This window comes from Homo sapiens, chromosome 14, assembly GCF_000001405.40.
Source record: "Homo sapiens chromosome 14, GRCh38.p14 Primary Assembly".
Lineage (NCBI taxonomy): Eukaryota > Metazoa > Chordata > Mammalia > Primates > Hominidae > Homo > Homo sapiens.
In genome coordinates, this window is record NC_000014.9 from 34,905,552 (window position 1) to 34,930,770 (window position 25,219).

Consider the following 25,219-nt stretch of genomic DNA (forward strand, 5'->3'; position numbering starts at 1 on the left):
AGGTGGGCAGATCACCTGAGGTCGGGAGTTCAAGACCAGCCTGACCAACATGGAGAAACCCCACCTCTACTAAAAATACAAAATTTGCTGGGCATGGTGGTACATGCCTGTAATGCCGGCTACTCGGGAGGCTGAGGCAGAAGAATTGCTTGAACCCGGGAGGCAGAGGTTGTGGTGAACCGAGATCGTGCCATTGCACTCCAGCCTGGGCAACAAGAGCGAAACTTTGTCTCAAAAAAAAAAAAAAAAAAAAAGAATCAACACGGACTCTTAGAATGTCATTCAAAATGAATCCCTTTTCCTTTCTTTTGCTAAGGTTCTGGGTTGGCATACCTGAGGAATTCTATGGCGTACTGTCACTAATCACCACGGTGGAAGATGAGCTGACCACTGTGATAAGAACTATTTATAAGTATGGAATTTTAACAGTACAAAAGAAGAAAAATCTCCCAAACTGAAGCTGCAACTAAGTAGGAGGGGGATCAAATTTTTGTTGTTATTTTTGACACAGCGTCTCGCTCTGTTGCTCAGGCTGGAGTTCAGTGGCTCAATATCAGCTCACTGAAACCTGCGCCTCCTGAGTTCAAATGATTCTGGTGCCTCAGGCTCCCAAGTAGCTGGGACTATAGGTCATGTGCCACCACACCTGGCTAATTTTTGTTTTAGTAGAGACAGGATTTCACCATGTTGCACAGGCTGGTCTCAAAACCCTGGTCTCAAGCGATCCACCCGCCTCGGCCTCCCAAAGTGCTGGGATTACAGGCAGGAGCCACCACACCCAGCCAGGAGGGATCAAATTGTATCAGATTCATGAACAAGAATATTTAAGTATACATAAGGCAGAAGAATAGGAACACAGGCAGATACAAATCTGTTGTTCCTTATTAAAGTGAGTAGGCAAGCCAGAACGTTTTATTGGATGTCAGAACGAAGATGAAGAAGAGGTGGTTATCAGGAAACAAGAGTTGTCCATCAAGGAAACCAAACAAATGGCAAGGCAAAAAGCCAAGCCAGGCAGGTACAATAGCTAAAAAGTTCTGGGGATGCAAGTTGCATGAATAATGCTTTCAGATCACCGTTGTTTTCTGATGATACCTCATCAGATGATAAAGGTCCTCTTCCTGGTTTTAAAGTAACTAGGACCCTGACAATGGCAAGCTGTAATTCTAGAGCACTGTTTCTCAACCATGGCTGCTATTAGGGGTTTGTAAATATACCAATGCCAAGCGTTTCAACCCCAGGCCAATTAAATCAATCTCTGGGGTTGCAACTCAGTCCTCAGTATTTTTTAAAAACTCCCCCAGGTGAAGTTAATGTAAGCGAAGGTTATGGATTATTATCCTAGAGATAAGTCTCTATAGTACACTGCTTTCAAACTTTGATGTGCGTACAAATTGCTTCGGGAGTCTTGTCAAAATGCAGGTTTTAAATTAGTAGGTTTGAGTTACTAATCTCAGGCCTGAGATTCAGGATTTATAATAACCAAGAAATATTGGGAGGCTGGACCACAGACCACACTTACAGTAACAAGCGTCTAGGAGAATGCTGCAAGACCCTCTTTCTGGCCGTTTTTTGTTCAGAATCTTAGATTATATTAAGATCTACAGGTATGGTTATTAAATATGATTATGCAAAAAGAGAAATGGCAAAGTTTTATTTTAGAATTCAGATTCAAAAATATTTTCACAAGTTGAAATAAACGGGACAAAATATACTCCTTTTTTTTCCTTTTTAAAAATCAATGTGATTCCAATTGTATTCCTTTTTTAAAAAAAACAAAACTGAGTCAGGCTCTCACTGTCACCAAGGCTAGAGTGCAGTGGTACAGTCATAGCTCACTGTAACCTCAAACTCCTTGGCTCAAGCAATCTTCCTGTCTTGGCCTCCTTAGGTACTGATATTACAGGTGTGAACCACTATGCCTGGATTAAAATTTATTCCTTAATAGGGACAATTTAATATCTATCATATAAGCTAATTCTGAAAAAAAGAAGATACTAAGATATGTTATAAAGCAATAATAATTTCACAGTGTAGTAATCAGTTATAAGTAGATTAATTATATTGAATAGTTAGTAGAGAAATACATATTAAAACAAGAGAATTTGGAATATGATAAAAGTGTTTAAATGAGGGAGGATTATTCAATTAATTGAATTGAAGCCAAAGAAAAAATATTCATCTGGGGGGAAAAGTGAGATCCATATTTCATACCTTACCCTAGGATAAATTCCACATGGATCAAGGATTTAAATGCAAAACGAAACCATGAAAGTGTTAGACAAAACCATGGAAGGGATTTTTTTTCTGTTATGTCTGAATGTGGAAACCGTTTCTAAACATGATACAAAGGCAAAGAGTCACAAAAGACTGAAAAATTAACCAGAAAAAAAAATTTGCATGGCAAAAACCTTTATGTGAGAAGTTTAAAGATAAAGAACAGGCCGGGCACGGTGGCTCACGCCTGTAATCCCAGCACTTTGGGAGGCCGAGACGGGAGGATCACGAGGTCAGGAGATCGAGACCATCCTGGATAACACAGTGAAACCCCGTCTCTACTAAAAATACAAAAAAATTAGCCGGGCACGGTGGCGGGCGCCTGTAGTCCCAGCTACTCGGGAGGCTGAGGCAGGACAATGGCGTGAACCTGGGCGGCAGAGCTTGCGGTAAGCCGAGATCACGCCACAGCACTCCAGCCTGGGCGACAGAGCGAGACTCAGTCTCAAAAAAAAAAAATAAAAATAAAGAACAAACTGGGGAGAAAACATGTCTTACTCATAGCCTAAGACAAAGAATTAATTTTTCTAATATTAAAGAGTTCCTACAAAATAGTAATTTAAAAAATATCTACAAGCTCCTTCCCCACAAAAGATCAACAAAGTATATGACCAAACTGTTTACAGAAAATGACATAAAACACCTCTCATAATAATTCCTATGGCAGTGTTTATTCTACTAAGGCATACTGATACCATGCACTTATTTATGGGTATGCTTTGTATAATCTCTAAAGCAGGCATAATTCTTATGATGCCAGGTAATTGAGCAGAGTCACAGAAAAAGAGTATTTTAAAAGGAGGGAGTCCCAGCCTGGCCAACATGGTGAAACCCCGTCTCTATCAAAAATATAAAAATTAGCTGGGCATGGTGGTGCACACCTGTAATCCCACCTCCTCAGACGCAGAGGCAGGAGAATTGCTTGATGTCCACATGCAAAATAATAAAGTTGGACCCCTACCTCATACCATATGTAAAAATTTACTCAAAACAGATCAAAGACCTAAATGTAAGAGTTAAAATTGCAAGAGTATTAGAATAAAAAATAGGTATAAATCTTCATGCCTAAGTGAGGTGGCTCATGCCTATAATCCTAGCACTTCTGAGATGGGCAGATCACTTGAGCACAGGTGTTTGAGACCAACCTCAGGAACATGGCAAAACCTCGTCTCTATTAAAAATACAAAAAAATTAGCTGGTGTGGTGGCATGTACCTGTAGTCCCAGCTACTCCGGAGGTTGAGGTGGGAGGATCACCTAAGCCCGGGAAGTGGAGGCTGCCATGAGCTGAGATTGTACCACTGCACTCCAGCCTGGGAGACAGGAGTGAGAAATCAACTCAAAAACAAACAAAACAACAACAACAACAAAACCTTTGTAACTTTGGATTAGGCAATAGTTTCTAAAATATAATACCTAAAGCCTAAGCAACCATAGAAAAAATAGATAAATTGGACTTCAGAAAAATTAAAAGCTTTTAGGCCGGGCGTGATGGCTCATGCCTGTAATCCCAGCACTTTGGGAGGCAGAGGCAAGTGGATTAGCTGAGGTCAGGAGTGTGAGACCAGCCTGGCCAGTATGGTGAAACCCCACCTCTACTAAAAAAAAAACACACAAAAATTAGCTGGGTGTGGTGGTGTGTGCCTGTAGTCCCAGCTACTTGGGAGGCGGAGACAGGAGAATTGCTTGAACCCAGGAGGTGGAGGTTGCAGTGGACCAAGATTGTGCCACGGCACTCCAGCCTGGATGACAGAGTAAGACTCCATCTCAAAAAATAGAAATACAGGCTGGGCGTGGTGGCTCACGCCTGTAATCCCAGCACTTTGGGAGGCTGAGGCGGGCAGATCACGAGGTCAGGAGATCGAGACCATCCTGGCTAACAGGGTGAAACCCGTCTCTACTAAAAATACAAAAAAATTAGCCGGGCGTGGTGGCGGGCACCTCTAGTCCCAGCTACTCAGGAGGCTGAGGCAGGAGAATGACATGAACCCAGGAGGTGGAGCTTGCAGTGATCTGAGATCATGCCACTGCACTCCAGCCTGGGCAACAGAGCGAGACTCCATCTCAAAATAAATAAATAAATAAATAAAAATACAGGCTGGGCATGGTGGCTCACGCCTGTAATCCCAGCACTTTGGGAGGCCGAGGCAGGCAGATTACTTGAGGTCAGGAGTTCGAGACCAGCCTGACCAACGTGGAGAAACCCTGTCTCTACTAAAAATACAAAATCAGCCGGGCGTGGTGGCGCATGCCTGTAATCCTAGCTACTCAGGAGGCCGAGGCAAGAGAATCGCTTGAACCCAGGAGGCGGAGGTTGCAGTGGGCCGAGATCATGCCATTGCCCTCCAGCCCGGGTGACAGAGTGAGACTCCATCTCAAAAAATAAAAATACAAAAATTAGCTGGGTGTGGTGGTGCATGCCTGTAATCCCAGGTACTCGGGAGGTGGAAGCCGGAGAACCACTGGAACTGGGGAGGCAGAGGTTGCAGTGAGCAAAGACTGTGCCACTGCACTCCAGCCTGGGCAACAAGAGCGAAACTCCGTCTCAAAAAAAAAAGAAAAAAAAAAAAAACCCAAGTGAAAAGTAGGCAAAGGACTTGAATAGACATTTCTCTTAAGATGATATAAAAATGGCCAATAAGCACATAAAAAGATATTCAACATTATTAATCATTAGAAAAATCCAACTTCAAAACCACAATTGAATACTACTTCATACCTGCTAGATCAGCTGGGAAGAAAAACTCAGATAATAACAAGTGTTGGTAAAATTTGAGCTCTTGTATATTAACAGTGGAAGTGTAAAATGGTGCAGGTGCTTTGGAAAACAGTTTGGCACTTTCTCAAAATTTAACCCTTTTCCAGTTTAGATTTTAAAAAAACACAGCTCGATGCCAGCACTCATTTAATTTTACTTAAACATGTTCTTTGAGGCTGAAGAAAATCTGACTGATTTTCATGTGAAAATAAAATATAAAAACTGTTCTTGGAGTTATTTCTAAACAGAACTAACATCAGAATCATCTGAACCATCAAAATCGTCTATTTCAGAAAAATCAGATCCATCAAATGAATCTTCAGCCAACAACTGTTTGAGAACGATGCTACGTTTTTTAGGATTTGACATTTTCAGTGATCAAGAATTACTATATTTTATAAACGGAAATACAACTAAAAACAGAATACTATAAATAGAATAATGTTTTTGTTTCCAAAGTCAATACACTAGAGCAATGCAAAAATAATAATAAATATTAATATGCTTACTCATGTATTAATAATACAACAATATTTTGTGGCAAGGTTATCTTGGAGTAAATGCTGCAGCTGCAAGCACCGCTGGCAGGTATTCTTGGGGCAAAGGCGAAAAGGGTTAAACAGAGTTATCATATGACTTAGTAATTCCACAATTCCACCTAAGAGTATTGAGAACATATGTCCACACAAAAACTTGTACCTGAATGTTCATAGCAACTTTATTCGTTATAGTCAAAAAGTGGAAACAACCCAAATGTCCGTCAACTAATGAATGGATAAACAAAATAGCATAACCACTCTGAGGTATATCCGCACAACAGAATATTATTGCACAATAAAAAGGAATGAAGTGCTGATACGTACTACAACATGGATGATCCCTGAAAACATTATACTAAAAAAGAAATCCCATTCCAGTAGGTATAGCTAAAAATAAATAAATACACAAAACATTATCTTTAATGAAAGAAGCCAGTCACAAAAGGTCACATGGTGTATGATTCAGTTTATATTAAATGTCCAGAATAGGAAACTCTGTAGAGGTGGAAAATAGATTAGCAGTTGTCAAGGGCTGTAGGGAGGGGGAATTGGTAGTGACTGCTAATGGATACAGGAGTGATGAGAATGTTCTGAAATTAAATGGTAATAGTTGAATGAATTTATGAATATACTAAAAAACACTGCATTGTACACTTTAAAAGATACATTATACACTTTAAAAGGTGAGTCTTATAGGATTTTATGAGATTTTATGAAATTTGAATCATATCTCAATTTTTTTAAAAGTGTTTATTGGATTTCTGAGACTCGGGTGTTGTTAGTGGCCTTGTAGAGGAATGTTAGTGGTCAAAGGCAGCTGGCAGTGGACCAAAGAATGAGTGGGAAGTGAAGAATAGTGAGTGTATACAATTCTTTCAAGAAGGTTAGGTGAGAAGAACAGGGCAGTAGCTGAGAGAGATAAAAGGTCAAAGAATATTCTGGTTTTGTTTGTGGTGCTGATGGCAGAAACTTAAGTAGGTTAAAATGCTAATGGAGGCTGGGCGTGGTGGCTCACTCCTATAATCCTAGCACTTTGGGAGGCCAAGGTGGTCAGATTGCTTGAGCTCAGTAGTTCGAGATTAGCCTGGGCAACATGGTGAGACCCCTTCTCTACAAAATATACAAAAATTAGCTGGGCATGCTGGTGCCTGTTGTCCCAGCTACTTGAGGGGCTGAGGTGGGAGGATGGCTTGAGCTTGGGAGGTCGAGGATGCAGTGAGCTGTAATCACGCCACTGCCCTCCAGTGGACCTGTCTCAAAAAAAAAAAAAAAAGATAGTAAGATCCAACTAAGAGGAAGTATACTGAGGAGGAGGATGATAAATAATAGAATAGAATAATTAAGATAGCACAAGGTGGTTAAAATGGAATTAAGAACACAGGTAACTGTTAAATAGGAAGAAAGGTGCTGACTGGGGGAAGTGAAATTATATATATTGAATTAGTTTAATTTGAGGAAGTTAAGACGCGTTTTATCTGAGGACATCTGTTTTCAGGTCAGTTGATGAAAAGTAAGGAAGTGTAGGCGAAGGGTCAGAAATGTGGGAAGATTAGAAAATGTTGGATGTGCTGGCACGGTGTCTCATGCCTGTAATCCCAGCACTTTGGGAGGCTGAGGCAGGTGGATCACTTGAGCCCAGGAGTTTGAGATTTTATTAAAAAAAAAAATCTATCTATCTATCTATAGAAATTGACACTTCTGGTCTTAAAGCTTGAAACTTACATTTATTTTATCTGAGTTACTTCCTCAGGAAAGGACCCCCAGACCTCTGGGAAAGTATCAAATAATTGAAACTCACTGGATCATCTCATCCAATGAGAGGCCAGGCCCCTCATTCATCATGATTGCTTCCTTAACCTTCCCCGAGTTCTTGTTTTCCTACACATTGTTATATTTCTTACCTGCTATATAAACTCCTAATTTTAGTCGGCAGGGGAGATGGATTTGAGACTGAACTCCCATCTCCTCCACTGCAGCACCTGGTCAAAGCCTTTTGCCTTGGCAATACCCGTTGTCTCAGTCATTGGCTTTCTGTGTAGCGAGCAGCAGGACCTAGACTGAACCCACAAAACCACAAATTTATACTATTGGGACAATCGTAACTCAATCTCTAGTCCCTGATGATTTGGGACGTTTAGGGCATCTAATCTGATCAGTTGTTATCTAATGTATCATCGGGTCGTACTTAAATTCCAGAAAATGCCCAGGAAAGGATAATTCTAGTGAAACAAAAAACCCAGTTTGGTCCTGTTACTTCTTATGCTTATGCTAATTGGAATCCCCTGGTAGCACATACTATCTGAAACGTAGCAGAACTCCCAGGAGAATCTATAATACATTTACGGTTTTGGTGATAAGGAACCCCCACTCGCTTGAGTCCCTTAGATCTGTGCTAATCCTACTCTACGCCTCTGGAACAACCCAGGATTCCAAGGATAGACTGGTAGTTTCTCATTAGTTTAATGAAACTGTGGTTTGGACTACATGTGTCAGCTGCTTTCCACTAATATCTGAGTAGGGCTAAACCACAGGAAAATATTGTTTCAAGTATGAAAATAATATTTAAATAGGACAATAATAATTATTCTAGCCGGGCATGGTGGTGCGCACCTATTAGTTCCAGCTACTCAGGAGACTAAGGTGGGAGGATCACTCAGCTCAGGAGTTCAAGACTGCAGAGAGCTATGATCATTGTGTCACTGCCTTCCAGCCTGGGTGACACAGCAAAACCTGGTCTCTACTGTAAAAAAAAAAAAAAAAAAAAAAAAAGAATAATTAGTTTAATAGGATAGAATAAAAATAATTAAAATTTCTTGATTATTGTCCATCTTGTGTTAGGCTTACATTTATACATATCATATGTATATATATGTACATATGATATGTATGAATGTAAGATATGTATAAATGTAAGATATGCAGCACACCAACATGGCACATGTAGACATATGTAACAAACCTGCACGTTGTGCACATGTACCCTAAAACTTAAAGTATCATAATAATAATAAATAATAAAAAAGATATATAGATATATATCTCTCAATTTGTCTTTCTCCCTCTCCTTACCATGGTTTTTGTTTAAAACTATCTTTATTAACAACAATAATTATAAGTGCAGCATGCAATGCTTTCCAAAGCACTTACTCATCCATTATTTTACTGTATGTAAACTTCCATCTCAGCTAGGTTGGAGATGCATTATTACCTCCAGGTTGCTGATGAAGAAACAATGATTAAGCAGTGATTAGTGACTTGTCCAAGATCATATAATTTGTTGGCAGGTGAGTTGTTTTTAGACTTCAGATATCTTTTGTTACTTCTTAACGTATACTTTCTATTCACTATAAGGTTAGTGAGAATTTTGATAAAGGTTTCCTTTTTTTTATTAAAAAAATTTTTTTAGCCTGTATCCTGCTGAAGATAAAGGTTTCCTAGTAAAACTATTCTAAACTTGTTTTTTTTGTTTGCTAGAAAAATGGTTTCAATAGACTTCTTTTTTTTATGGAATCTCGCTCTGTCCCCCACGCGGAATGCAGTGGTGCAAGCTTGGCTCACTGCAACCTCCGCCTCCTGGGTTCAAGCGATTCTCCTGCCTCAGTCTCCTGAGTAGCTGGGATTACAAGCGTGTGCCACCACGCCTGGCTAATTTTTGTATTTTTAGTAGAGACTGGGTTTCACTATGTTGGTCAGGCTGGTCTTGAACTCCTGACCTCGTGATCTACCTGCTTTGGCTTCCCAAAGTGCTGAGATTACAGGCGTGAGCCACTGTGCCCAGCCTAGACTTCTTTTTTAAAAAATGTATGTTGAACATTCAACAAAGGAAAAATGACCATGATTCGTAAAATACTGATATTTAATACTTCTCAACTTTCCAAAACAATGATAGTGATGATATATTTTAATCACATAAGGGGCACTAATTTTAATATGTCTTTACCACTTTATTTTATTTATTTATTTTTGAGACAGGGTCTCATACTCTGTTGCCCAGGCTGGAGTGCAGTGTTTCGATCAGGTCTCACTGCAGCCTTGACCTCCCTGGGCTCAGGTGATTCTCCCACCTCAGCCTACCGAGTAGCTGGAACCACAGGCTCACACCACCACACTTGGCTAATTTTAAAATTTTTTGTAGAGACAGGGTTTTGTCATGTTTGCGCACCCTGATCTCAAACTTCTGAGCTCAAGCAGTCCTCCCTCCTCGGCCTCAAAAAGTGCTGGGATTACAGGTGTGAGCCATTGTGCCCAGCTATTTTATTTTTCAGATAGGGTCTCACTCTGTCACCCAGACTGGAGTGCAGTGTCGCCATCACAGCTCACTGCAGCCTCGACCTCCCCAGGCTCAGGTGATCCTCCCACTTCAGTCTTCCAAGTAGCTGTGCCACCACATCTGGCTAATTTTTTGTATTTTTTGTAGAGATGGGGTTTCGCCACGTGGTGGTCTCAAACTCCTGGCCTCATGTGATCTGCCTGCCTTGGCTTACCAAAATGTTGGGATTACAGGCGTGACCACTGTGTCCTGCCACCACCTTATTTAGTGCTAACTAAACAACTTTCCCTTTGCCAAATGTGATAATAATTTCTTAATTTCTTGTAGAATTACTGATCAGAGTCAACATTCTTTTTTTTTTTTTTTGAGACAGAGTTTCGCTCTTGTTGCCCAGGAGGGAGTGCAATGGCACGATCTCTGCTCACTGCGATTTCTGCCTCCCGGGTTCAAGCAATTCTCCTGCTTCAGCCTCCCAAGTAGCCGGGATTACAGGTGCCCGCCACCATGCCCAGCTAATTTTTGTATATTTAGTAGAGATGGGGTTTCGCCATGTTGGCCAGGCTGGTCTCAAACTCCTGACCTCAGGTGATCCACCTGCCTTGGCTTCTCAAAGTGCTGGGATTACAGGCGTGAGCCACCACACCTGGCCAGGGTCAACGTTCTGAAATAACCTTCAGCATTAGCCAGTACTCACCAAGATCAAATAATCAGCTTTGCTAATTTGTTGTTGTTGTTGTTGTTTGAGATGGAGTCTCGCTCTGTTGCCCAGGCTGGAGTGCAATGGTGAGATCTCGGCTCACTGCAACCTCTGCCTCCCAGGTTCAAGTGATTCTTCTGCCTCAGCCTCCCGAGTAGCTGGGATTACAGGCACTCACCATCATGCCCGGCTAATTTTTGTATTTTTGCATAGATGGGGTTTTACCATGTTGGCCAGGCTGGTCTGGAACTCTTGACTTCAGGTGATCCGCCCACCTCAGCGACCCAAAGTGCTGGGATTACAGGCTTGAACCACCGTGCCCGGCCCACTTTGCTAATTCTTAAAACATTTAAAGCTAAACTTCAAGGAGTGTGAAAAGGTGGTTAGGGTATCCATAAACAACCTGGTGCTGGGGCACATCTGACCCTGGGGAGGAATTAAGTGGCTCAGTGGTCCTGTGGCTGAGAGGCATGGCCAGCAGGGACTCTGACAGTCACCTTTTTTCTTCCTTCAATGAATCTCCAGGTTAGAAGGTGAAGGAAGTTATTTGCAGCATCAATGGCAATTTCTTTTCCACCTCCACCTGTAACAGCCAAGGCGCAGGACACTGAAGAAAAGAAGCAAAGAGGCCTGATGCTTCTGGCGAATCAGTTGGAAGAAGAATCACATCTAAAGTAGACAAGATATCCACTGTCTACACACACACACAAACACACAACTCTTTAACTAAATTCACATTTGTATCTGGTGTTTCCATGCGATAGTGGCTTAACTGATAATTTTGTAACACAAACATGGAGGTCATAGAGGCTTTCAATAATAGAGCTAAGGACTCATATTTCCTATGCTTTTAAAATTATCGTTTTAGGCTGGGCACAGTGGCTCACGCCTGTAATCCCAGCACTTTGGGAGGCTGAGGTGAGTGGATTGCTTGAGCTCAGGAGTTTGAGACCAGCCTAGCCAACATGGTGAAACCCATTCCTCTAAAAAAAATGCAAAAAATTAGCCAGGCAGGGTGGTGCGGGCCTGTAGTTCCAGCTACTTGGGTCAGGGAGGTGGGGTGGGGTAAAAAGGCAAGAGGATCACTTGAACCCAGGAGGCTGAGGCTGTAGTGAGTTGAGATCATGCCAGTGTACTCCAGCCTGGGTGACAAAATGAGACCCTACTTAAAAAAAAAAAATACACTTTGGGAGGCCAAGGCGGGTGGATCACTTGAGGTCAGGAGTTTGAGACCAGCCTGGCCAACATGGTGAAACCCCATCTCTACTAAAAATACAAAAATTAGCCAGGTGTGGTGGCAGTGCCTGTAATCCCAGATACTTGGGAGGCTGAGGCAGGAGAATTGCTTGAACCGGGAGGCAGAGGTTGCAGTGACCCAAGATTGTGCCACTGCACTCCAGCCTGGGTGACAGAATGAGACTCTGTCTCAAAAATAATAATAATAATAATGCAAATAATAATATAATAAAATAAAAATATATATATATTTTAAATTCTCGGCATGGTGGCTTGCACCTGTAATCCCAGCACTTTGAGAGGCCAAGACAGGAAGATCACCTGAGCCCAGGAGTTCAAGACCAGCCTGGGCAACATAGTGTGACCTCCTCTCTACAAAAAATTTTCAAAAATAGCTGGGCTTGGTGGCATGCACCTATGGTCCCAGCTACTTGGGAGGCTCAAGTGGGAGGATCACTGGAGCCCAGGAGGCTGTAGTGAGCCATGATTGTGCCACTGCACTCCAGCCTTGGGTGACAAAGAGACCCTGTTTCACTAAAAAAATTTTTTTTCAATTTATTTTTTAAAATTGTGGTAAAATATACATAACATTAAAATTTACCATATGCAGTGGGGGTAGATATCATAAGTCATAAGCAGTACTGAGAAGTAGTTTGACAGTAATTGAAAATGAAATAGCAGAAAAGAACCTCAAAAGATTATAATGCCTAAAAATCTGCTGCCAGATTGGTTAAAATTATATAAGACATATGCGCCTCTTGAAGATTCCTAAAAATGAAATTTACAAGCCTATCTAGTGAAGTTCTTCTATGCATTTAACTGTGTCCTATGTACTAGGTGAGGCAGCATGATGTAATGGGAAAAGTCCAGGACTTGGAATCAGGGCAAGTGTAATTGTCTTTGTTGCCCAGGCTGCAGTGAGTGCAATGGCGTGGTCTCAGCTCACAGCAAACTCTGCCTCCCGGGTTCAAGTGATTCTCCTGCCTCAGCCTCCTGAGTAGCTGGGATTACAGGCGCATGCCACCATGCCCAGCTAATTTTTGTGTTTTTAGTAGAGACAGGGTTTTGCCATGTTGGCCAGGCTGGTCTCAAACTCCTGACCTCAGGTGATCTGCCCGCCTGGGCTTCCCAAAGTGCTGGGATTACACGAGTGAGCCACTGTGCCCAGCTGTAATTTCCTCATTTTAAAAATAGGAACAATAAGAGCACCAACATTAGAATACTGTTACAAGGAACAAATGAGGTGGAGTGTAAGAAAAGTATATTGTGAAGTGCTATGTAAATGTTATTTTTCAACAAAGTTATGGTTTGTATACATCTTCCACAGAAGGTTATCCCTCTTATGGCCATTGACCATTTCTTTCTATAATTTTTTTCCATTTTTTATCTTTGTAATCAACATTGACACTTTTTCTTCTCTCTACATACATTGTATTGGTCATTGGACAGTACTTTCTTTTTTTTTTTTTTGATACAGAGTCTCACTGTGTCACCTAGGCTGGCGTGCAGTGACACAGTCTCCGCTCACTGCAGCCTCAGCCTCCCAGGTAGCTGGGATTACAGGGGCCCACCACCACATCCGGCTAATTTTTGTATTTTTAGTAGAGATAGGGTTTCACCATGTTGGCCAGTCTGATCTTGAACCCCTGACTTCAGGTGATCTGCCTGTCTCAGCCTCCCAAAGTATTAGGATTACAGGTGTGAGCCACCATGCCCTGCCTAGACACCACTTTAAAATGGCTGTTTCATGTTACAGATTTAACTTGGGGGAGGCCAGCCTAATGAAAATTTATTATTTTCTGTGAGTCACTGTATTTATAACTCAGGTACTGGCTACCGAGTGAATGGTGGTGCCTGGTTTATGGTTTTGTGGGCTTACTGTCTAGTCTATTATCTGATTTGGGTAAGAGAATATAGATTTGCCCGTAACTTAGCCAAATTTTAAAAAGCATATCTATTTATTAGAAAGAAAAAGTATTAAAGTATGACCTATCAAGCTATTAATGGCATATGTTTGTAACAAACTATAGAAATGATCCCTGAAAGTATAGTCTTAATGGCATATTTTTGCACATCATATCCAATAAGATTTAGAGAAGCACAAATATATATAAGGCCCCTCTCCCTTGCTCAATTTCAACACCTGTTTTTTTTTTTTTTTTTTTTTTGAATTCACTAAAGGGGAAAATGGTGGGGTGGTCAGTCAGTGCTAGGAAGGTAGGTAGTTAATGATGGTTATGCTAATTTAGAATGAAAAACTTTCATTCTAGATAGGACAGTGAATCCAATATCTCTTTTTTTTCCTCCCTAGAGACAGGTTCTCACTCTATTGGAGTGCAATAGTGTGATCATAGCTCACTGCAGCCTTGAACTCCTGGGCTCAAGCAATCATCCCACCTCAGCTTCCTAAGTAGCGGGCATGCTGGCATAAGCATGGTGGTGTGCACCTGTATTTTTTGTAGAGAGGGGGTCTTGCTGTGTTGTCCAGGCTGGTCTTGAACTCCTAGCCTCAAGAGATCCTCCTAAAGTGCTGGGATTTCAAGCAAGGACATCCATGCCTGGCCTCAATACCTTTTAATAACAACTTGCTAGAATCACAGAAGTTCTTCTGGGAGCTTAAGTCAGAACTGGGACATTGCTCTGTTAGAATGAGTGAGCAGTAGGCTGGGCGCGGTGGCTCACACCTGTAATCCCAGCACTTTGGGAGCCCGAGGCAGGCAGATCACGAGGTCAGCAGATCGAGACCATCCTGGCTAACACGGTGAAACCCCGTCTCTACTAAAAATACAAAAAAATTAGCCGGGCGTGCGCCTGTAGTTCCAGCTACTCGGGAGGCTGAGGCAGGAGAATGGCGTGAACCCGGGAGGCGGAGCTTGCAATGAGCCAAGATCGCGCCACTGCACTCCAGCCTGGGCAACAGAGCGAGACTCCGTCTCCAAAAAAAAAGAAAAAGAATGAGTGAGCAGTAAAGTCAATAGAGAGCTACCAGAGTGTGCACTCCTGAAAGTCCTGAAGAATAGGCGAGTCCAGTTGCCAACACAGAGAAGATAGGGTAGGAACCAAAAGGGGTTGTGGTGTGCTGAGAATCAGTCACTGGGATGTCAGTAAGAACATTCACATCAAATCAGGGCCAAGTGAGCCAGAAATTAAGAGACCAAAAAAGATGCCTTACCAGGTCAAAAATTGGAGACTAAGATGAGTCACGCTGCCACGGAGAAAAGAGTGTATCCTTGGGTTAAATAGTGTATACAAACAAATGCTTCCTGGAAACTAGACTCTCCCTTCGGGTTAATGATCAAGAGTTTTCCATAGTCATTGTCTTTTTTAAAAATCAGGTATTTATTGAGCATATGTTGTATGCCCTCAACATTTTAAGAACTGTACTTGGACGTGCACGCACCCTGTCCCTCAACCACCGCTGCCGCCTCCTTCTTCTGTCACTCCTGGTGCTGCACTGTGTTCGTTCAGTGAGAAGCTGGTACCTCTTTTGTGAAGCGGCAGCTGAGAAGACTCTGGCATTTGCCATGGCCGAGGAAAAGCCCAAGGCATTGTCAATGGGGCAGATCAGATTCCGATTTGACAGTCAGCCAATCAATGAAACAGACACACCTGTACAGGTGGAAATGGAGGATATAGATATAATTGATGTGTTCCACCAGCAGATAGGAGGTGTCTACTGAAAAGGGAACCTGCTTCTTTACTCCAGTTCCCATTTTTTTATTGTACATAAAGTAACTGGTATATGTGGACACACATATTGCATTTTTTTTTTTTTTGAGGCTGAGTCTTGCTTTGTCACCCAGGCTGGAGTGCAGTGGCACGATCTCAGCTCACTGCAACCTCCACCTCCCAGGTTCAAGCAATTCTCCTGTCTCAGCCTCCTGAGTAGCTAGGACTACAGGCACCCACCACGCCCGGCTAATTTTTGTATTTTTAGTAGAGACGGGGTTTCACCATATTGGCCAGGCTGGTCTCAAACTCCTGTCCTCAGGTGATCCACCCACCTCAGCCTCCCAAAGTGCTGGGATTACAGAAGTGAGCCACCGCGCCCAACCCATATTGCATTTTTTAAACTAAATAGCAATGGTACGTTTTGACTGACATCAAGTGGAGATGGAATGGGAAAAAATACTGATTCTGTGAAAATACCCCCTTTCTCCATTAGTGGCATGCTCATTCAGCTCTTATCTTTATATTCCAGTAAGTTATTTTGCTCTTACTATTTTAACAAAACAACAACAAGATAAAAATCCTTGCATACCTTGTTCAGTTGGAGAATTTTAATGTTTTTCACTTATCCTTGTTAAACCAATGATAATTTTATAACTTTTTTGTATGCAGCTGTTACACGTAGGGCAATCTCTCTGTAAGTAGGGATAAATTACTCTGAAAAAAAAAAAAAAAAGAATCCTAGATAGTTTTCCCTTCAAGTGTCTTGTTTAAATAAACTTCTTGTTTAAAATGAAAAGATCTTTACTTGTATTATCTTTTAATCTTTATAACAACCCTATGCAGTAGATACTTTATCTTCATTTTGTTTATTTATTTTTTTGAGACGGAGTCTCACTCTGTCTCCCAGGCTGGAGTTCAGTGGCACGATCTCAGCTCACTGCAAGCTCCGCCTTCCGGGTTCAGGCCATTCTCCTGCCTCAGCCTCCCGTGTAGCTGGGACTACCGGAGCCCGCCACCACGCCCGGCTAATTTTTTGTATTTTTTAGTAGAGACGGGGTTTCACCGTGTTAGCCAGGATGGTCTCGATCTCCCGACCTCGTGATCCACCCACCTCGGCCTCCCAAAGTGCTGGGATTACAGGCGTGAGCCACCGTGCGTAGCCTATCTTCATTTTATAGATGAAGAAACGGAGGCAAAGGAGGATAACAAGATTTTCCAAAGTTATTCATCCAACAAATATTAGAGCTATGACCCCAATCCAAACTACCTAACTCTAGTGCTTGCACTCTAAACCACAATGGTATGTGGTTCCCTGTAGTTTTAATTCACATTTATTATCTATCACTTCACTGGGCTCAGCCTACTCTTGAAAGAGATGGCTGAAGACATGCATCTCATGTCCAGATATTATAAGTATCATTTTTCTTGTTAAGAACATAGTATTTGGGCCGGGTGCAGTGGCTCATGCCTGTAATCCCAACACTTTGGGAGGCCAAGGCCAGTGGATTGCTTTAGCCCAGTAGTTTGAAACCACTCTGGACAACATAGGGAGACCCTGTCTCTATAAGAAATTTTAAAAATTAGCTGGGTGTGGTGGCACACTTGTGGTCCCAGCTGCTCAGGGGGTTGGGGGGAGGATCACTTGAGCCCAGGAGGTTGAGGCTACAGTGAGCCATGATCACACCACTGCACTCCAGCGTGGGCAACAGAGCGAGACTCTGTCTCAAAAAGATAGTATAAATAATAAGAATTAAAAAGAACATAATATTTAATAAAATTTTGAAAAAGGACAACTTAAGGAAAAAAAATCTTTTTTTTTTTTTTTTTGAGACGGAGTCTTGCTCTGTCGCCCAGGCTGGAGTGCAGTGGTGTGATCTCGGCTCACTGCAAGCTCCGCCTCCCAGGTTCACGCCATTCTCCTGCCTCAGCCTCCCAAGTAGGTGGGACTACAGGCACCCACCACCATGCCCAGTCAATTTTTGTATTTTTAGTAGAGACTGGTTTTCACCATGTTAGCCAGGATGGTCTCGATCTCCTGACCTTGTGATCAGCCCGCCTCGGCTTCCCAAAGTGCTGGGATTACAGGCGTGAGCCACCGTGCCCGGCCAGGAAAAAAAATCTTTTAACTTTATCCCATTTGGAGTTTAAAAGCCTCTATGTAGTTTGCTGCACAAAAGCACTTGCAATTTTGTCATCAGAATTCTTCATGGCCAATTTTGCTCAATTTTGGATCTGTTTTTTGTAGAAAATAAGTTGGCTTTGTTTTTCCTCTTTGAAGGAAAGACCACATTACCCCTTTGCATTCTAAACTCTCAATCCCTGCATCTTTCTTCCTGGAGGCATATTGAATTTAAAACTATTTCAGGATGTCCAAATAAAAATGTCTGCTAATTAGTTATGTGGGATTAGAGCTCAAGAGAGATTAGGGGAAGAGATATGATTTGGGGTGTTATTTATAGAGAAGCTAGAGTTGAAGTTATGGGAAGTACTTAAGATCTCCACAGAAAAATATTCAAAAAAATGAAAAAAGAGAGCTCCATCTAGGCAGAAAAGACTCAAAATGGGTTTCACCAAAATCAAGGTGCTGGCGGGCTGTATTCCCCACAGAGGCTCTGGAGTAGAATTCATTTCCTTGCCTCTTCTGGCTTCTAGAGGCTGCCTGAATTCCTTGGCTTACGGCCCCTTCTTCTACCTTTGAAGCCAGCGGCATAGCATCTGCTATGGTTTGAATGTTTGTCATTTCCCAAAACTCATGTTGAAATTTAATTACCATTGTAACAGTATTAAAAGGTGGGATGATGATTAGGCTCTACCTTCATAAATGGATTAATGTTGGCTGGGTGTGGTCGCTCACGCCTGTAATCCCAGCACTTTGGGAGGCTGAGTCAGGCAGATCACTTGAAGTCAGGAGTTTGAGACCAGCTTGGCCAACATGGTGAAACTTCATCTCTACTAAAAATACAAAAGTTAGCCAGGCATGGTGGTGGGCTCCTGTAATTCCAGCTACTTGGGAGGCTGAGGCAGGAGAATTGGTTGAACCTGGGAGGCGGAGGTTGCAGTGAGCCAAGATTGCACCACTGCACTCCAGCCTGGGCAACAGAGCTAGACTCTGTCTCGAAAAAAAAAAAAAATGCAGCCTACAATCCTAATGGCTAGAATGTACTTATATTCAGATAAACTTTGTCTACACGGGAGTTTCTGAACATTGATCCAGAGGCTTTGTCCTCTGAAGTCACAAATAGTAAATTTGGTATTTGCCACATAACTCTCCTTCAGACTTTGGAAGACATATTGACCCCATCTCCCCTGGCTTTTCTTCTGTGGAGAAAACTATTTCTTTAGCAATTTCATAGGACATAGTTCCAAAGTCCTATTATCCTGGTTAGCCTTCTATGGATATTGATATAGTTTAGATGTTTGTCAAATCTCATGTTGAAATGTGACTTCCAGTGTTGGAGATGGGCCTGGTGGGAGGTATTTGGGTCATGGGAGTGGAACCCTCATGCATGGATTGGTGCCCTCCTCCTGGTCATGAGTGAGTTCTCTGAGTTCACACAAGATTTGATTGTTTTTGAAAGAGTCTGGGGCCAGGCGCGGTGGCTCACGCCTGTAATCCCAGCACTTTGGGGAACCGAGGCAGGTGGATCACTTGAGGTCAGGAGTTTGAGCCCAGCCTGACCAACATGGTGAAACCCCATCTCTACTAAAAATACAAAAAAATTAGCCAGGCATAGTGGTGGGTGCCTGTAATCCCAGCTACTCAGGAGGCTGAGGCAGGAGAATCGCTTGAACGTGGGAGGCAGTGAGTTGAGATCGTGCCACTGCACTCCAGCCTGGGCAACAGAGCAAGACTCGCCTCCTTCTCTCTCCACCTCCTTCTGGAACCTCCTCCTTCTCGCTCTCTTTCTTGTTCCCTCTCTTGCTATGTAGCATGCTGGCTCCCCTTGGCATTATGAGCCATGACTGTAAGCTTCCTGAAGCACTCAGTAGAAACAGGTGCTGGCACCATGCTTCCTGTACAGCCTGCAGAACCCATGAGCCAAAATAAATCTCATTTCTTTATAAATTAAAATTACCCAAGGCCGGGCGCGGTGGCTCACACCTGTAATCCCAGCACTTTGGGAGGTCAAGGTGGGCAGAGCATGAGGTCAGGAGTTCAAGACCAGCCTGGCCAACATGGTGAAACCCCGTTTCTACTAAAAATACAAAAATTAGCCAGGTGTGGTGGTGGGCACCTGTAATCCCAGCTACTTGGGAGGCTGAGGCAGGAGAATCGCTTGAACCCTGGAAGGGGAGGCTGCAGTGAGCCAAGATCGTGCCACTACACTCCAGCCTGGGCGACAAGAGCAAGACTCTAGCTCAAATAAATAAATAAATAAATAAATAAATAAATAAATAAAATAAAGTTATCCCAGCCTCAGGTCTGTCTTTCTTTTCTTTCTTTCCTTCCTTCCTTCCTTCTCTTTCTTCCTCTCTCTCTCTGTTTCTTTTTTTGAGACGGAGTTTCACTCTTGTTACCCAGGCTGGATTGCAATGGCATGATCTCGGCTCACCGTAACCTCTGCCTCCCGGGTTCAAGAGATTCTCCTGCCTCAGCCTCCCGAGTAGTTGGGACTACAGGCATGCACCACCACGTCCAGCTAATTTTCTATTTTTAGTAGAGATAGGGTTTCTCTATGTTGGTCAGGCTGGTCTCGAACGCCTGACCTCGGGTGATCCACCTGCCTCATCCTCCCAAAGTGCTGGGATTACAGACATGAGCCATGGTGCCTGGCCAGGTATTCCTTTATAGCAATGCAAATGGATTAACACAGACACCTTTGGCTTATGAATGTTTCTTTGAAATTATAGTGTGGTCTGACCAAGCAAGAATAGATAGGGACAATGTTCATTTGGTTCAGTTTTAATTAATGAAGCCTAAAATTATAGTCAGCTATAATCCCTGCCTTTCCACATACTGCTGAAGGACATATTTATCTGAAATATACTGTACCAATTGTTTGTTTGCTTTTTTAGAGACGGTTTTGCTCTGCCATCCAGACTGGATTGCAGTGGTGTGATCATAGCTCACTGCAGCCTCCAACTCCTGTGCTCAAGGATCCTCCCACTTTGGCCTCCCAAAGTGCTGGGACTACAGGTGTGAGCTACTGTGCCTGACCTGTACTATTAATTTTCTAACTTACATACTGAATTTTACAATTAGGCTTACCTAATAATTCTTTAGTGTCAATGAATACATTAGTAATCCTTAACAACTACATGTAATCTACAAATTTAATTTTATGTGATTTTCCATCCAAATAATTACTAAAAATGTTAAATGTAATAGAGCCCGTGATGGAACCTTGCAATGTAACCAAAAGCCTCAGTCCAGGGGAACATTTACCTGCTTTTGTGGGTCAAAGTCATTCAAGCAAGGTCTAACTGCATCATAATCTGCTCCACAGTTTTTCATTTGGTCCACAAGTAGTTTCATGCTTTACATTCTTTGTATAGCATTTTCCAGACTACGAATATGCTAATCTTATCTGAAAAATAAAGTTAGTGTGGCTTAACCTGTTTTTGGTAAACTTAGGCTGGCTCTAAATGATCATGTCTTTTCCTTAAGTACTCTCAAATCACCTATGAAAATCCAATCTAGACTTGTTCCTGGCATTAATGTTAAGTTTGCCAGAATATGTCTTCCTTCCTTGTCAAAAATCTTGCTGTTCTGACTTTACAGTCTTTTGACCCCTCTATTCTTATAATTCCTCAACTATGAATCACTGTGATGACATAAGTAAGGAGATGGAAGAACTGTACATTATAACAAAAGTATTCTGCATATTTTAAAAATGCCATGTAAAAAAAGATTGATAAAGCAAATATTCTCTTATCTATAGCTCTCTAAACACTATTATTGTACTTATTGGAGTAAATCCCAAAATTTAGTCCAGTTTGTTGTATGTGCGTACAAATGTTGGCTAATTTAAAATACAGAAGATATATAATAGAAACTTTTCTCATTAAAGTCTTCTTAACAACAGGGAAAAATAAATATTACCTATTCCAACCTTCTGCAAAAGGTCTGGAGGTCATTACGGCCCTAAGATGTTCACTTTATCCAGGTCCCATTTTTAGTTTTAAAAAATTCATGGACGCATCACTTTGGGAAGCCGAGGTGGGCGGATCACGAGGTCTGGAGATCAAGACTATCCTGGCTAACACAGTGAAACCCTATCTCTACTAAAAATACAAAAAATTAGCTGGGACTACAGGGGCGTGGTTGCACGCGTCTGTAGTCCCAGCTACTCGGGAGGCTGAGGCAGGAGAATTGCTTGAACCCGGGAGACTGAGGTTGCAGTGAACCGAGATCGCGCGCTGCACTACAGCCTGGGCGACAGAGCGAGATTCTGTCTCAAAAAAAAAAATTCATGGACTATTTTGAGGAAATAGATGTATTCATGATCTTGACTGTGGTACTGATATGGGTGTATACATGTCAAAACGCATCAAATTATACAGTTTATTGCATGTCATGAGCTTTTTTTTTTTACAATTTTATTCTCTTAAAATTTTATTGTAAAAAGATTTAAGCCCATGAAAGAATGAGTGAACTATAATTACATAAAACAACACAGATTAACTTCACAAACATAATGTTGAACAAAGGCTGGAAACAGGCCGGGTGCAGTGGCTCACGCCTGTAATCCCAGCACTTTGGGAGGCCGAGGTGGGTGGATCACCTGAGGACAGAAGTTCGAGACCAGCCTGGCCAACATGGCGAAACCCTGTCTCTACCAAAAATACAAAAATCAGCTGGGCGTGGTGGCGGGTGCCTGTAGTCCCAGCTACTCAGGAGGCTGAGGCAGGAGAATTGCTTGAACCCGGGAGGCAGAGGTTACAGTGAGCCGAGATCATGACACTGCACTCTAGCCTGGGTGACAGAATGAGACTCCATCTCAAACAAAAATAATAATTAAAAAGAAAGAAAAAAAGAAAGAGGCCAGATACAAGGAGTACCCCATGTGTGATTCACTCTTAAAAGATGGTAGTATAAGGCAGTCTTCTGGGGTGGTAGTGATTTTCTGTTTCTTGAGCTGGATTATCATATGGGTATATTTACTTCATGGAAATTCATTGAGCTGTGCAGTTAAGACTTGTCCACTTTTCTGTATGTTATTCTTCAGTAAAACATTTACCATGAAGAGTGAGGCACATGTGCTATAATAAACGGGAAAGAATATGAAAATCAACTGTCTCAATAAAAAATTTACAACTGATATTGCACTATAATTATGTAAGACCTGACCATTAGGAGAAACTGGGTGAAGGGTACAGAGAACCTCTCTGCACTAATTTTTCAACCTCCTGTGAATCTATAATTATTTCCAAATGTAAAAATACTATTAACACTGATATTTTAGTGTGTGAACCCCAATTAGATTTTCTTTTCTTTTTTCTTTTTTTTTTTTTTTTGAGATGAAGTCTGGCTCTGTTGCCCAGGCTGGAGTGCAGTGGCACAATCTTGGCTCACTGCAACCTCCACCTCCCAGGTTCAAGTGATTCTCCTGCCTCAGCCTCCCAAGTAGCTGGGACTAAAGGCACATGCCACCACGCCCAGCTAATTTTTTGTATTTTTAGTAGAGATGGGGTTTCACTGTGTTAGCCAGGATCGTCTTGATCTCCTGACTTTGTGATCCACCTGCCTTGGCCTCCCAAAGTGCTGGGATTACAGACGTGAGCCACCATGCCCAGCCTAGATTTTCTTTCTTTTTTTTTTTTTTTTTGGAAACGGAGCCTCACTCTGTCTTCTGTTGCCCCAGCTGGAGTGCAGTGGCGCCATCTCGGCCACTGCAACCTCCGTCTCATGGGTTCAAGTGATTCTCTTGCCTCAGCCTCCCGAGTAGCTGGGATTACAGGCACATGCCACCACGCCCAGCTAATTTTTCTATTTTTAGTAGAGACAGGGTTTCACCATGTTGGTCAGGCTGGTCTCGAACTCCTGACCTCGTGATCCGCCCACCTCGGCCTCCCAAAGTGCTGGGATTACAGGCATGAGCCACCGTGCCTGGCCCCAGCCTAGATTTTCTACTTATATCCTCCTTCTAAAAGTTTCCCTTTCCTGCCTACTCCTCAGAATTGAAGTGAAAATCATCATTTTCAATAGAGGTTGTCCCAAATATAGATGACAGTTGATAAGTCCTGGGATGGACATCTGCCCCAATGTGGGCCGGTTGGAGCCTTTTCCTGAGACATGGCATTTGGACTGAGAAACAGCCATTTCTTTTCCTGTGTCCACACTGTAATTTGTAAACTGAAGAGCTGCCAGCAGCTATTTTCCACCTTGTGGTTCAGGGAAGCAGAAGAACCTGATGGACAGAGAGAAGGTGGAATGATGCTGATGTACAAAGGGAGGAGGACACATGAGACAGAGTCTCTTTGACATTCACCTTCCTGGCTCCTTATGTCCAGTTCAATTTGTGTCCTTGGGTTCTGTGAGACCCTTTATGTGTTTAAAATACATTCACCTCATTATCTAAGCAAGATCCATTCAGATTTCTATTACTTCCAACCATAATCCTAACTAGCACACCTACTACAAAGATGCACAGTTTTTGTCCTACGGCTTACACTTAGAATATGCCTTTTTTTTTAATTTAAGAAGTATGACGCCAGGAGCAGTGGCTTAAGCCTATAATTCTAGCACTTTGGTAGGCAGAGATAGGAGGATTGCTTGAGTCCAGGAGTTTGAGATCAGCGCCAGGAGCAGTGGCTTAAGCCTATAATTCTAGCACTTTGGTAGGCAGAGATAGGAGGATTGCTTGAGTCCAGGAGTTTGAGATCAGCCTGGGCAACAAGGAGACATCATCTCTTAAAAAAAAAAAATTAGCTGGCATGCACCTGTGGTCCCCACTACTTGGTAGGCTGAGGTGGGAGGATCGCTTGAGCCTGGGAGGTTGAGGCTGCAGTGAGCCATGATTGTACCACTGCACTCCAGCCTGGTGACAGAGTGAGACCCTGTCTCAAAAGACAAACAAACAAACATAATGAAGTATGACTTTACTGTATGTAAGATACAGATTGGCACTCCTGCATAGTACGATCACAGAAGATATACTAAAGATCATTTAACCCACCCCTCTTATTTTCAGGTGAGAAAACTGCAGGTTAAGGGCCTTAGCCAAAGTCATACAGCCAGCTGCTAGAAGTATCAGACTCAGCATCGTGTCACCTTTCCCACGTCAATATTACACGGTCAGTCCTGGAGAGAAACATCAGGATGCTCCACTGAGGGTTTTATTTGTTTGCATATAGTATACTAACTGCATAATGAGTTAATCAGAACATAGCTAACAAGGACCTACTTGAGAGATCAAATGAATAAGAGATAATGTATAGGGATATAAATAGTTATAATTATAGGTACTTAATTCTAAAAACAATCTTTAACTTTTGTCACTATTAGTCATGGAGGTATTCCATGTGTCACTTAGAACAGATATACATAGTCTATTGAGAGTTAAAAAAAAACAATTTGAGGACAGATTACTCCAACATTTTAATTCAAATAGTATCTAGAATTGAGAAAAAAATTAAGACTATATTCAACAGGATGTAAATACTAAGTTTGACGTAAACTTCCTGAGAAGTGGAGGTTTGCTCGGAAACTTCCTGCTTGGTCATAACAGAGAGCTGGAACACATCAGTTTACCTCTCTTGATCTGGTCTGATACTGTTGGTTTAAAATGCTGATTTGGGATTATTCTTAGCCAAAGTAGCCAAAGCACA

At 42.2% G+C, this 25,219-nt stretch overlaps 1 long non-coding RNA gene across 1 annotated transcript in view; it reads right to left on the reverse strand.

Annotated features, from left to right (window-relative positions):
• Positions 1 to 10,928: 10,928 nt before the first annotated feature.
• The window catches only part of SRP54-AS1 (SRP54 antisense RNA 1), a 66,087-nt gene continuing 51,796 nt past the window's right edge, over positions 10,929 to 25,219 (reverse strand). The window contains exons 3-5 of the long non-coding RNA NR_151701.1: positions 16,038 to 16,162; positions 14,949 to 15,385; positions 10,929 to 11,147 (exon numbers count right to left, since the gene is read on the reverse strand). This is a non-coding gene — a long non-coding RNA (SRP54 antisense RNA 1). The remainder of the gene's footprint in view (positions 11,148 to 14,948; positions 15,386 to 16,037; positions 16,163 to 25,219) is intronic.